The sequence below is a fragment of the Homo sapiens genome, chromosome 18, assembly GCF_000001405.40.
Source record: "Homo sapiens chromosome 18, GRCh38.p14 Primary Assembly".
Classification (NCBI taxonomy): Eukaryota; Metazoa; Chordata; class Mammalia; order Primates; family Hominidae; genus Homo; species Homo sapiens.
This window is the reverse complement of record NC_000018.10, coordinates 25,256,630-25,270,198: the sequence shown is the minus strand read 5'-3', so window position 1 is coordinate 25,270,198 and position 13,569 is coordinate 25,256,630. Positions and strand designations below refer to the sequence as shown.

The window sequence follows — 13,569 nt, the reverse complement described above, 5'->3', positions numbered from 1 at the left end:
AATTTATCCATTTCTTCTAGATTTTCCAGTTTATTTGCATAGAGATGTTTATAGTATTCTCTGATGGGAATTGTTATTTCTCTGGGAACACTGGTGATATCCCCATTATCGTTTTTTATTGTGTCAATTTGATTATTCTCTCTTTTCTTTTTTATTAGTCTGAGTAGTGGTCTATCTTTTTTTGTTGATCTTTTCAAAAACCAGCTCCTGGATTTTTTGAAGGGCTTTTTGTGTCTCCATCTGCTTCAGTTCTGCTTTGATCTTAGTTATTTCTTGTCTTCTGCTAGCTTTTGAATGTGTTTGTTCTTGTTTCTCTACATCTTTTAATTGTGATGTTAGGGTGTCAGTTTTAGTTCTTTCCTGCTTTGTCTTGTGGGCATTTAGTGCTATAAATTTCCCTCTATGCACTGCTTTAAATGTGTCCCAGAGATTCTGGTACGTTGTGTCTTTGTTCTCATTGGTTTGAAAGAACATCTTTATTTCTGCCTTCATTTCTTTATGTACCCAATAGTCATTCAGGAGCAGGTTGTTCAGTTTCCATGTAGTTGTGCAGTTTTGAGTGAGTTTCTTAATTCTGAGTTCTAATTTGATTGCACTGTGGTCTGAGAGACTGTTTGTTATGACTTCCATTCTTTTGCATTTGCTGAGGAGTGTTTTACTTCCAATTATGTGGTCAATTATAGAATAAGTGCTACGTGGTGCTGAGAAGAATGTATATTCTGTTGATTTGGTGTGGAGAGTTCTGTAGATGTCTATTAGGTCCACTTGGTCTAGAGCTGAGTTCAAGACCTGAATGTCTTTGTTAATTTTCTGTCGCGTTGATCTGTCTAATATTGACAGTGGGGTCAATAAAGTCTCCCACTATTATTGTGTGGGAGTCTGAGTCTCTTTGTAGGTCTCTAAGAACTGGCTTTATGAATCTGGGTGCTCCTGTGTTGGGTGCATATTTATTTCGGATAGTTAGCTCTTCTTGTTGCATTGATTCCTTTACGATTATGTAATGCCCTTCTTTGTCTCTTTTGATCTTTGTTGGTTTAAAGTCTGTTTTATCAAACACTAGGATTGCAACCCCTGCTTTTTTTTTTTTTTTTTGCTTTCCATTTGCTTGGTAAATATTCCTCCATCCCTTTATTTTGAGCCTATGTATGTCTTTGCATGTGAGATGAGTCTCCTGGATACAGCACACCAATGGGTCTTGACTCTTTATCCAATTTGCTAGTCTGTGTCTTTTAATTGGGGCATTTGTCCTGTTTGTATTTAAGGTTAATATTGTTATGTGTGAATTTGATCCTGCCATTATGATGCTAACTGGTTATTTTGCCTGTTAATTGATGCAATTTCTTCATAGTGTTGATGGTCTTTACAGTTAGGTATGTTTTTGCAGTGGCTGGTACCGGTTGTTTCTTTCCATGTTTAGTGCTTCCTTCAGGAGTTCTTGTAAGGCAGGCCTGGTGGTGACATAATCTCTCAGTATTTGCTTGTTTGTAAAGGATTTTATTTCTCATTCACTTAAGAAGATTAGTTTGGCTGGATATGAAATTCTGGATTGTAAGTTCTTTTCTTTAAGAATGTTGAATATTGGCCCCCACTATCTTCTGGCTTATGGGTTTCTACCAAGAGATCCGCTGTTAGTCTGATGGGCTTCCCTTTGTGGGTAACCCCACCTTTCTCTCTGGCTGCCCTTAACATTTTTTCCTTCATTTCAACCTTGGTGAATCTGACGATTATGTGTCTTGGTCTCTTTTTGAGCAGTATCTTTTTGGTGTACTCTGTATTTCCTGAATTTGAATGTTGGCCTGTCTTGCTAGGTTGGGTAAGTTCTCCTGATTAATATCCTGAAGTGTGTTTTCCAACTTGGTTCTATTGTCCCCATCACTTTCAGGTACAGCAATCAAACATAAATTTGGTCTTTTCACATAGTCTCATATTTCTTGGGGGCTTTGTTTGTTTCTTTTCATTCTTTCTTACTTCAGTCTTGTCTTCTTGCTGTATTTCATCAAGTTGATCTTCAATCTCTGATATCCTTTCCTCTGCTTAATCAAGTTGGCTATTGATACTTGTACATGCTGCAGGAAGTTCTCGTGCTGTGTTTTTAAGCTCCATCAGTTCATTTATGTTCTTCTCAAAACTGGTTATTCTGGTTAGCAATTCGTCTAACTTTTTTTCAGTGTTCTTAGCTTCCTTGCATTGGGTTAGAACATGCTCCTTTAGCTCAGAGGAGTTTGTTATTACTGACCTTCTGAAGCCTACTTCTGTCAATTTGTGAAACTCATTCTCTGTCTAGTTTTGTTCCCTTGCTGGTGAGGAGTTGTGATCCTTTGTAGGAGAAGAGGTGTTCTGGTTTTTGGAATTTTTCAGGCTTTTTGTGTTGTTTCTCCCCATTTTCATGGATTTATCTACCTTTGGTCTTTGATGTTGGTGACCTTCGGATGGGGTCTCTGAGTGGACATCCTGTTTGTTGATACTGATGCTGTTTCTTTTCTGTTTGTTAGTTTTCCTTCTAACAGTCAGGCCCCTCTGCTGCAGCTCTTCTGGTGTTTGCTATAGGTCCGCTCCAGACCCTGTTTGCCGGGGTATCACCAGCAGAGGCTGCGGAACAGCAAAGATTGCTGCCTGCTTCTTCCTCTGGAAGCTTCGTCCCAGAGGGTCACCCACCAGATGCCAATCAGAACTCTCCTGTATGAGGTGTCTGTCCACCACTACTGGGAGGTATCTCTCAGTTAGGATACACAGGGGTCAGGGACCCCCTTGAGGAGGCAGTCTGACCCTTATCAGAGCTCGAATGCTGTGCTGGGTGATCCGCTGCTCTCTTCTGAGCCATCAGGCAGGGACGTTTAAGTCTGCTAAAGCTGCATCCACAGCTGACCCTTCCCCCAAGTGCTCTCTCCCAGGGAGATGGGGGTTTTATCTATAAGTCGCTGACTGGGGCTGCTGACTTTTTTTCAGAGATGCCCTGCCCAGAGAGGAGGAATCTAGAGAGGCAGTCTGGCCGCAGAGGCCTTGCTGAGCTGCGGTGGGCTCCGTCCAGTTTGAACTTCCTGGCAGCTTTGTTTACACTGTGAGGGTAAAACTGCCTACTCAAGCCTCAGCAATGGCGGACGCCCCTCCCCCCACCAAGCTCAAGCATCCCAGGTCAACCTTCGACTGCTGTGCTGGCAGCGAGAATTTCAAGCCAGTGGATCTTAGCTTGCTGGGCTCTGTGGGGATGGGACCCGCTGAGCCAGACCACTTGGCTCCCTGGCTTCAGCCCACTTTCCAGGGAATGAACGGTACTGTCTAGCTGGTGTTCCAGATGTCACTGGGATATGGAAAAAAAGAAACAAAAACAAAAACAAAAACCTCCTGCAGCTAGCTCAGTGTCTGCCCAAATGGCTGCCCAGTTTTGTGCTTGAAACCCAGGGCCCTGGTGGCGTAGGCACCCCCAGGAGGGAATCTCCTGGTCTGTGGGTTGTGAAGACCGTGGGAAAAGTGCAGTATCTGGGCCGGAGTGCACCATTCCTCGTGGTACAGTCCCTCACATCTTCCCTTGGCTAGGGGAGGGAAATCCCCCGACCCCTTGCACTTCTCAGTGAGGCGACACCCCACCCTGCATCAGCTTGCCCTCCGTCGGCTGCACCCACTGTCCAAGCAGTCCCAATGAGATGAACTGGGTACCTCAGTTGGAAATGCAGAAATCACCCGCCTTCTGTGTTGATCTCATTGGGAGCTGCAGACCGGACCTGTTCCTGTTCAGCCATCTTGCCAGCAAATCCGATTTATAGTATTTTTAAAGTATCTTTTAGAAGGCTAAATTGTTATCAGTCATTCACAAGTCAGTGGAAAACTGATTTAATCAGATTGCTTTCTTTTCTAATAAAATTGTTTTTTAATTTTGAACTTTTGTGGGTACATAGTAGGAGTACATGAGATGCTTTGATACAGGCATGAAATGTGAAATAAGCACATCATGAAGAATGGGGCATCCATCCCCTCAAGCATTTATTCATTGAGTTGCAAACAATCCAATTATACTCTTTATAAGTTAGTTTAAAATATACAGTTAAGTTTTTATTGACTATAGTCACCCTGTTATGCTATCAAATACTAAGTCTTATTCATTCATTCTATGTTTTGTACCTATTAACCATCCTCACCTTTCCCCCAGACCCCTACTACTTTTCCCAGCCCCTGGTAACCATCCTCCTACTCACTGTATTCATGAGTTCAATTGTTTTGATTTTTAGTTTCTACCAGTAAGTGAGAAGACGCGATGTTTGTCTTTCTGTGCCTGGCTTATTTCACTTAACATATGATCTCCAGTTCCATCCATGTTGTTGCAAACGACAGGATCTTATTCTTTTTTTATGTCTGAATAGTACTCCATTGTGTATACATACCACATATTATTTTCCCATTCATCTGTTGATAGACGCTTAGGTTGCTTCCAAGTCTTAGCTATTGTCAACAGTGCTGCAGCAAGCATGAGTGCACTTATCTCTTTGATTTACTGATTCCTTTCTTTTGGGTATATGCCCCGCAATGGGATAGGGTAGCTCTATTTTTAGTTTCTTGAGGAACCTCCAAACTGTTCTCTGTAGTTGTTGTACTAACAGATTGTTTTCCTTTCAGTGCTGGAGAACAGTCGTATTGAGGGAACAGGATGTGAGAATGAATGAGGAGGATGGATATGTAGAGCGCTCCTTAGGTGTCTGAATAAATGTCTCCTAGAGTCTCTTAGAGGGAGATCTTAGGACACTAAGAGGGTTCTGATATCAGGGGGAGAGAGAAACTGGGTAACAGTAATTAAGTTCAGGAAAGAAAGCAGGAATGTTTATGATAACTTCATTTATTGTAATTCTACCAAGAGCCAGTCCTGAGTCCAAGAATGGGAGAGGTAAAGATCTAATTATCCTTTCTTCCTCTTCTACTTTGGCCTCTGCTTTTTGTCTCACATTTGTTGTTCCCAACAGTCAACACCTGAGCAAGTATTTTGAACACTGGAGTTAAGTAACATCAGTTAGGTGGCAACTTGTGAGTGTTCAGAACAGAGGATGGTGCTGTTAAGTCACCTGAAATTTAGATTTTTGTTTAATATTTTTAAAAATGTATGTCATGAATAACAGTTGACTTACCAACACAGTTTTAGAAGGGAACCTATTAAAATCAAATAATAATAGTTATGCTTTGTTGTTTAATGAAGCTGTTTATTTTTCCCCGGTGATAGTTGGTTTCCATTATTTTCACCCAGAGGAATATGCTGTTATTTTCCTGCAGACTTTTTCCTTCCTTTTCTCCTTCCTGCCATACTTGGTGTTTCTCTCTCTGTATTCTTTTCCTTTTCATGGTGTCCACATTTTCCTCTCCTCCTTCCTGAAGCTTTTTCTGTTTCTTCCCTCTGTTTCACCCTGTTTTCTTCCCTCTTATAAAGTATCTAATCAGAGTTCCTTGATTTAGCTAACAAATAAATAGAACTTTCGGGCTTTTGTTTAATTAACAATGAAAATTACTGAAAGAAATAATGAACATAAAAATAAACATTATGAAGATGTAAATTAAACTCCATAAAATTTGGTTTTGAATAAAATTGACAGAGGAATGAGATCTTGACAAAATGTAATTCTTCAAAATTTGAATCACAAAAATTGAACTTGGTAGAAATATTGATCTTAGGAAACTCATAATATGTTTAATATGGACAAAATTGATAAATGAATCAAATTATCATCATATAATTTTAATAAAAATGAGCTGATCCCAGTGAAAATAATTTCAGTGAAACAAGAATTAAAATGGGAAAAAATAGTGTAGTTAATAGTGCTGTATAAGAAATTGATGAAGGAATTTAATCAACTCAGTTGAGTATATTCCAGAAATTTGTTAATGACAAAAATATATCTGTACTGACAAAATTCTGTGTAAAGTGCTTATATTCAACATTCTAAGACTCAAAATGCTGGAACAAAATGGCAGAGTAAAAATACCAGGAATGAATATCCTAATCCCCTCATTTAATCCTCATAGCTCTACAAATTAGGATAATAGTTTCCTGAGATACAAGAGTAGTTGCGGTCCAAAGAGTTTAGAAAGTTGGTGATAACTGCTTGAACCAGGTACCTGATTTCAATTCATCACAATAATGAGGGTACCACACCTTTTTCATGGTATCTATCTGGAACAAGTAAAATACTTTGGATATAAAAAGATTTTGTTACATGACAAAATTTAGCACTGTTAAATTTCAAATAGTTAACAGTATCACAGGTATAATGGTGATATTCTAATGAAAAAGCTAATAACCTATTTATTCATTCTTACATATAGGTTAAGAAAGTTATTGACCTAGGCCAGGTGCTGTGGCTTATGCCTGTAATCCTAGTACTTTGGGAGGCTGAGGTGGGCGGATAACCTGAGCTCAGGAGTTCGAGACCACCCTGGTTAACACGGTGAAACCTCGTCTCTACTGAAAAATACAAACGATTAACTGGGCATGGCAGTGTGCACCTGTAGTCCCAGCTATTCAGGACGCTGACGCAGGAGAATGGCTTGAACCCGGAAGGCAGAAGTTGCAGTGAGCCAAGATTGCATCATTGTGCTCCAGCCTGGGCGACAGAGCGAGACTCTGTTCCAAAAACAAACAAACAAACAAAGTTGTTGACCTACATGGTGAAGCTCCGTCTCTACTAAAAATACAAAAATTAGCTGGGCGTGGTGGCAAGCACCTGTAATCCCAGCTAATTGGGAGGCTGAGGCAGGAAAATCCCTTGAACCCAGGAGGTGGAGGTTGCAGTGAGCCAAGATCGTGCCACTGCACTCCAGCCTGGGCGACAAGAGTGAAACTCTGTCTCAAAAAAACAAAAAAAAAAGCAAGTTATTGACCTAACTTTTTTTTTTCATCAATCAGAGTAACTGTGATACTGTATCTTGATCATGGTCAGAATCACTGGTTTGAAGGATGGATGAAATTAGTGTCTCCCACGTGCCAGGCACTGGGAGCTAAATTTAGATATCAAAGTTACCTTCTAATTCTGGATGCTTTAATAAACTTTTGTCCTGGGGCTAAGTGAGACTCATTCTGACCTTGGTTTTGATTAAGAGATTTGGAATTTGTGAGAACATAGTCTTGTAATCTAAAACAGTGCCTAACTACTAGTGGTTTATTGGGAATTGTCCAAGCAAATAATTACAAAACAGAAAAGGAGATATTCCACTGGCCGTTTCTAGTACTCTGTGCTCTGTCCTGCTTCACAGTTACTCACCAGTGGTATCTAAGTTGACATTCAGAGAAAGTTTGCAATGGACAAAGCTGTTTCTTGGCAGTATTTTCACTCTATTCCTCAGCCCCTTTCTACCTCCTGATTCTCTCTAAAGGTCTGTTGGCATTATCAGCTGCTCAAACCATCCCAGACTGTCCCTGGGATATCCTTTAAAACATCCCCTACATGACAGGTGTAGGTGACTCCTTCTTATTCTTTACTCACTGCCCTAGGCAGCCCTCCTGTCTCTTTGAGCCAGGTATTGACACTGTGGTCTTATTTCTCCTTGTATTTATTTGCCATATCAAAAAACTTACCACTTTATTATTTTGATAGTTTGTTTATTGCTTTTCTTACCCATGAGTTTCATGAGGGCAGAGATTCTGTTTTTCTCTGATCATAGTAGATGATCAGTAAATGTTTATAGAATGACAAAATGAATTCCTCCTTAGAGCAAATTCATGCTAAGATGTGGATAACCAACATAGTTAATCTTCCCAGATGTTTTTGTACTTTCTAAACAAAAGGTCAACTTCAAAAACTAATGTGTTGTCTTCAAGTAGTGTAACAAGACGGAAAAAAATCATTCAAGCACTGTGAGGAAAGATATTTTGGAGTACAGGAATTTCTATAAAAGAGTACTATACCATGTGAATGTAAAACCCCAGGGAAAAGTATCTGCCTTAAAATTGTTGCTGTTTTCAAAAAGGAAATCATCCCATTTTTGAACTCACCAGTTCTCTATAATTTTCTAATATTTTTTTCAGAGCAGGTCTTGTGGGAGGGCCATGGAAGACTCCCATGGTATGAGTGTAAAGAAAGATGACATAAGACATAAGTGATAAAGGGACGTAAGTGATTGTTTCCTTGTACTGTATAGGGACTTCTTGTACTGTCTGTCCTTTATAAGGCAAAAGCTATTGTCCATTGTGCTACTGTCTCTTAATTGTTGGTTTACTTAACTAAGAGTTTTATAATCCTAGTAAAAACTTAAGAGTTTTAGGATGTTTGGTCTGTTGCTGTGTTTGTTTAAAAACTCCTGGCTCCTTTTCTTTAACGCTGATGAGGTAAAATGCCCAAGTCCTTCCGCACAGCAGGGGGTGGGTAATAAGTTACGGTTAGACTCAGCAACTCTGGGCATTGCTTAAATATATAGGACTTTCAGCAGAGCCGCTTTCCTTTAAGCACATTCCATGGAGACAAGCTTAATAGAGTTCCATCTGGTCAGGGAGAACCACTGTTTCCGAGACTGGACAGCCTCTGCTCAATCTCTTCATTGAGTGGCTTTTAAAAATTAAAAAAAAAAGCATATACACAGAGAGAAAAAATAGAGGAGAGAAGGGAGAGAGAAGGAAAAAGGGGATAGAAAGTGAAGGAGGGAGAGGAGGAGGAAATCAAATAAATTCTTTTGGCTTTTTGTTTTTCTTCCTAACTATTCATAAGTATAGGAAAGTAAGATATATGTTGTGATAGAGAAATTGGGAAGATGGACTCATTCACCGAGTAGACAAACCCTTCTTAGGCCCCTTTAATGTGCCAAGCATACTATGTGACAAGAATGGCAAATAGCATAAAATTGTAAAATTGAGCAGGGAATCAGTCTCGTTGACCACAGAGGGTATGGGGTACTCTAGGAACAAGAAGGAAGATGAGTTCAGAATCAAGTTTGAGCACTGAGTTTTAAAGGTCATCCCCTAGCTCCTGCTAATCAGACAGGTCAGGTGTTTAGTTAGGTCTAAAATGTATTAACTCACTTGCCCCCAGAGTCTCTGTTTTGTTAGTAACTGGAGGTGCTCTGATGCAGCTGACGTTGGCCAAACTGAGGAGGACTCTGGACATGAATTCCCAGAGATGCAAATTGCCTCTCAGACCCTCCGGTTCATACTTTAACCACCTCACTGTAGCACTGCAGTGACACTCTGGAAGCCTGGAAAGTGACAGGCAAAAGCAGAGAAGGAGCTTGCTTTATGAAGTATCCTGAAGAAAAGGTTTCCAGGTTTTCGTATTTTACTCTGTTGAAATTGTGCCTTAATTTTAAGAAAGATATCTATTATTTATAGAGTAACAGTTACATTTTAGTTGAACTCTGGTGACCTATATTTTCCTTCTTGTGTTCCTTATGGGGTTTTACTTTCCACGTGCATCAGTATTTTCATTTGTACCTATGACTCTCCTGGGGATTTTGAAGATTGAAGAGATAACATAATGCTGAGAAAATATTCTGAGCACCACAGAGTTCAATAAGAATACGTAAGACACATGAGTAATTATAATAGTAGGAAATCCACTGCTTTTTTGGAGTAACATGCCAAAAAGTATAAAGTTTTATGGATAATACCGTATATTGTTACTATTACTAGCAATAGTAATAATAATTTACTAAGTACTTACTATGTGCTAGATATAATACATATTTTTCCATTGAATTTTTAAAAGAAATCCATGAAGTTGAAACATGTTTTCCAGATGAAGATGCTGAGGTTCTGAAGAAAAGGTTAAGTAACTTGCTTAAGGTTTTCTTCCTCCACATCCCATGCTCCGACCCACCACCCCACCCATACTTTATATCCCTATTTTATGTTGCTACCTGTTCTTTTTAATGCTGACCACATTTCCAGAAATGCACTAAACTACCAACCTTAGCTTACTTAATCCTTCTGGCCAACCTTAGGAGAGGTAGGCATTGTTTTATTTATTTATTTTTTGTTTGCTTTGTTTTATTTTAGCATTTCTTTTTTTTGTATGAGACATGGGGCACATAGTGAATAAGTGACAGAAGTGGGATTTGAACCCAGGATGTGTCTGAATCAGAAGACCTTGGCATTTACTATTATGTTGTCTTGGAACCAAATCAGTTCATGCTCAAAAGCTCTCAGTGTTTCCCAAGGCTCTTTGAATGAACTTCAGAGTCCTTTATGCACCTTACACTCCCTACATAATTTGCCTGTGCAGAATCTTGTAGCTTTCTCTTCCCCAACCTCCCCCTTGTTTGCTCTGGTAGCCCCACTTGCTCTCTATTCCTTGAACTGACCAAGCACTTTTTCTTCCTTGGCCTGTCCTCATGCTGTGCTTTTCTGTCTGGAGTCAATCACCTCTTTGCCTCCTCTTCTTCCTTTTAGTTTAAGGGGTGTTCCCTCTGGGAGGCCTTCACTGAGCCCCAGTCTAGGTGCGTCCACGACCACATTCTCTGTGAACTGCTGTTGGGTGATGTCTGTCTTCTGACTATCCTGTAAGCTCCATAAAGTCTGAAATACCGTTGACTGCTGTGTTCCCAGTGCCTGGCACATGGTAGGCACTCAACAGATCTTTATTGCCCAATGCGTGGATGGAATGATCGTCTTGAAATTCTAGTTCACCTGGACCCCGACTCCACCCTCCTGTTGCTGTTTTTGTTTTCCTCTCTACTCCCTTCAGCTCTCTTCTTACCTCTGCTCCTGGAAGTTTACGCCCGTGGTGCCCTCTCCAACTACTTTGGAGATGAACTAATCTGATCCCCAGCTAGATATTAGCCCCTTGAGTGCATCACAGTGTACATATTTGTTGGATTGAAGCAAATTGATACCATAACTCAGTCTTAAGAAGGTTTATTTCACAAGGGTCACAAGAATTGAATCAAAGGGCTGCCTCAAAAGTTTCTTTTCTGCTAAATTACAAATCCAGACTTGGCCAAGACTGTACCTAGAATGGGCCAATTTAAAATAAGCTCATGATTTGATCCTACTCCTGGCGAGGAGTAACCTGCCTTTCAGAGATCCCTCCTGGTACCTACGCTGGGTAAAAAGATTAAAACAAAAAGACTAGCTTTCTCTTTTTGGTGTAAACTTTCTTAGCTGCCATGTTGTTGAAAGTAGCTCAGGAATTGAGAGCTCAGGCACTGACCTCTAACTACATGGGTTCAAATCTTCCACTACTTATGGACTCTGTGTTCTTAGGCACATATTAGGTCTTGGTTCTCTCATCTGTGAAAGCTCACAGGTTTTTGTGAAGTGTAAATGACATGACACATATCAAGCATGTAGCAGGGTGCCTGGCACATTGTCATTACTCAATAGATGATAGCTATTATTTTTATTATAATATTTTATACCTAAATGATACTCTGTGTTTGGAGAACATTTTCACTTACCCTGTTGTGTAGATGGAGAGGCAGCCCATAGGAAACCCATATAAGTGGTCTTCTTTTATAAATAGAGAGGCCACGTGTCTCCAGTGTCATTTTTGATAGGCTAGTTCTCAGTCTTTAATCTCTTATTTTCTTCAGAAAGATCCATAGCATGATAGAGAAGAAGATAGGAAAGCTGGTGGGTCAACAAGCTCATCTCTCACCGGCATGGGCTTCTGTCCTTATGGTCTATTTCCAGTATTGTTTCAGTTACAGTTAAAATTCCCTCCAGCATCTCAGCTTCCGACACATTTCTTGGGAAGCTATTCTTTTAACATATTGCCATTAGGAATTTTTTCTTGATATAAAACCTGAATTTTCCTTTGCTTAATTTAATCCCTCTTCACATACACCTCGGACCTCTTTAAATAATTCTTTTCCCTCCCTGCCATTTGCACCTTTCAGTTACTTGTAGAGAGTTGTCATAGCTCCCTTTGGGCCTAATCCTATCACTGTGATTCATGTTGGGCAAGCTGTACATTTTGTAATAGTCTATGGGCATATTCTAAGAATGCTGTCTTGCTGGAATAAAAGCAATTCTCCAGTGATATTATCCAAACCTTATCGTCAATAACAGCTACTAAATGTGAAACAAAGCAAGTGACTTTTTTTCTGAAAACAAAGAAGGTAACGAACAGGAAGTGGTGTCTACCTTTTAATATTATTATTCTTATCAATTATGAGAGTGCCTCGTTATCAATAATGTAGTATAGAATTGTCTTTATTTAATCTATAGCCTATACATACAGAAGGGAATACTACATGTATACCTCCAAATGGCAGATAAACCAAAAGAAATTTTGTTTTTTAAATGTGAAGTGTGTGTGTATGTCTGTATGTGTATTTGTGCACACATGTGCATGTGTGTCTGTGAATGTGTTCTTCTGGGACTTTATACAAAATATTGAAGGAGAAAAAAGAAAACTAAATTGAAGAGACATGAGAAAGTTGTTGAGCTTCACCCGTTATAATGGGATATGGACCTCTTCCCAAGACTTGAAAGCCACAACCCTTCCTTTGTATCTCTTCCAGTCAGAAAGGCTGAGATATAAGGAATTTGAAAATATGCATTTGATACTCAACAAGCATCTCTGATAGGTTGGAAAATGAAGAGGAGGTTTCATGACCTGCGAGTACAGGAGGCAATTATTTTCTGTTTTCCTATTGCCTTTAGTTGCTCCGTGTAGCCACTGGCAGGCAGGGAAGAACAGGGAATATCGCTTACGAATGGATTTCTGACTCTCAGGCAGTTCACCCTCCACCTTGAGACAGTCATAGAATATTAGAACTGCATGGATAGGAAACAGTATAGAAATCTAGTCCCTTTTGAACTTACCAAGAAAGGAAACGAAGGTTCAGACAGGAAGTTATGTATTTAAGGTCACATAAGAAGTTGAAGCAATGTGTTGTTTGAGCCCAGGCTTGTTTTCCTTGTTGTCCAGGGGTCTCACTACTAAAACTCACTCCTAGCTTGATATTTATATTAAACTTAATAGCCCATCATGACAAGTAAATTGAAAAAATAGATTGAAATGGGTATGAACTTTCTAAAATAGATCTTTTCTAAAATAGATCTTTTTAATCATTATAATTTGTGAGTTAAATGAGGGAACTTAGATGTTACTTAAGTTGATGATCAATTCCACTTTCCTCAAAGCAACAGAAGTGTTCCTAAAACTATGAGTACAGTGTATTTACCCAGGGAGTCCCATCCTGCGTTGCTACCCCAGTGATCTACGGTAGTCTCCCCATCTAGCCTCATTTCCTGCTAGACTTTTCTCATCTCTGCCTTTCCTTGTGCTTTTGACTTCGCCCAGAATGTTCCTTTCTTTTAACTACATCTGTGGTGCCTTTATTGAAGTATTTTTTGCCATGGCCGTCTTCAGAACTCAGTCCAATGGCATGCTCAATAAATCTGGACCATTTAACCACCTGTCCTTCTGTGAGATGCTCTACACCTTGTTCTGCCATAGTGAACTCAGTTTTAATGTTTTTTTTTTCCTTCAGCTGCACACACACTTGTATTTCTGACCCAACACTGTTCTCCTTCCTAGCTCTGTTCTTGTCTTTCTTCCTTAGATTGCCCCATTTCCTCACAAAGGACTGCAGACTAAGAGCCTCTTCAGAATTATCTGGCCTCTGGGATCCCTTCCCCGCACTTCGCTCCTGTAGGGG

The 13,569-nt window shown here is 39.8% G+C and overlaps 1 protein-coding gene and 1 long non-coding RNA gene across 13 annotated transcripts in view; one reads left to right on the top strand and one right to left on the bottom strand.

Annotated features, from left to right (window-relative positions):
• ZNF521 (zinc finger protein 521) overlaps positions 1–13,569 on the top strand; it is a 290,243-nt gene that overhangs the window by 81,968 nt on the left and 194,706 nt on the right. The gene's annotated exons all lie outside the window — the stretch shown is intronic.
• The window catches only part of LOC105372031 (uncharacterized), a 46,669-nt gene that overhangs the window by 10,500 nt on the left and 22,600 nt on the right, over positions 1–13,569 (bottom strand). Inside the window, exon 4 of one of the 2 annotated variants that reach the window (XR_001753379.3) lies at positions 11,411–11,487. The exons of the other annotated variant lie outside the window; for it this stretch is intronic. This is a non-coding gene — a long non-coding RNA (uncharacterized LOC105372031). Of the gene's footprint in view, positions 1–11,410; positions 11,488–13,569 lie in introns of those variants that run through there. 2 annotated transcript variants of the gene reach the window in all.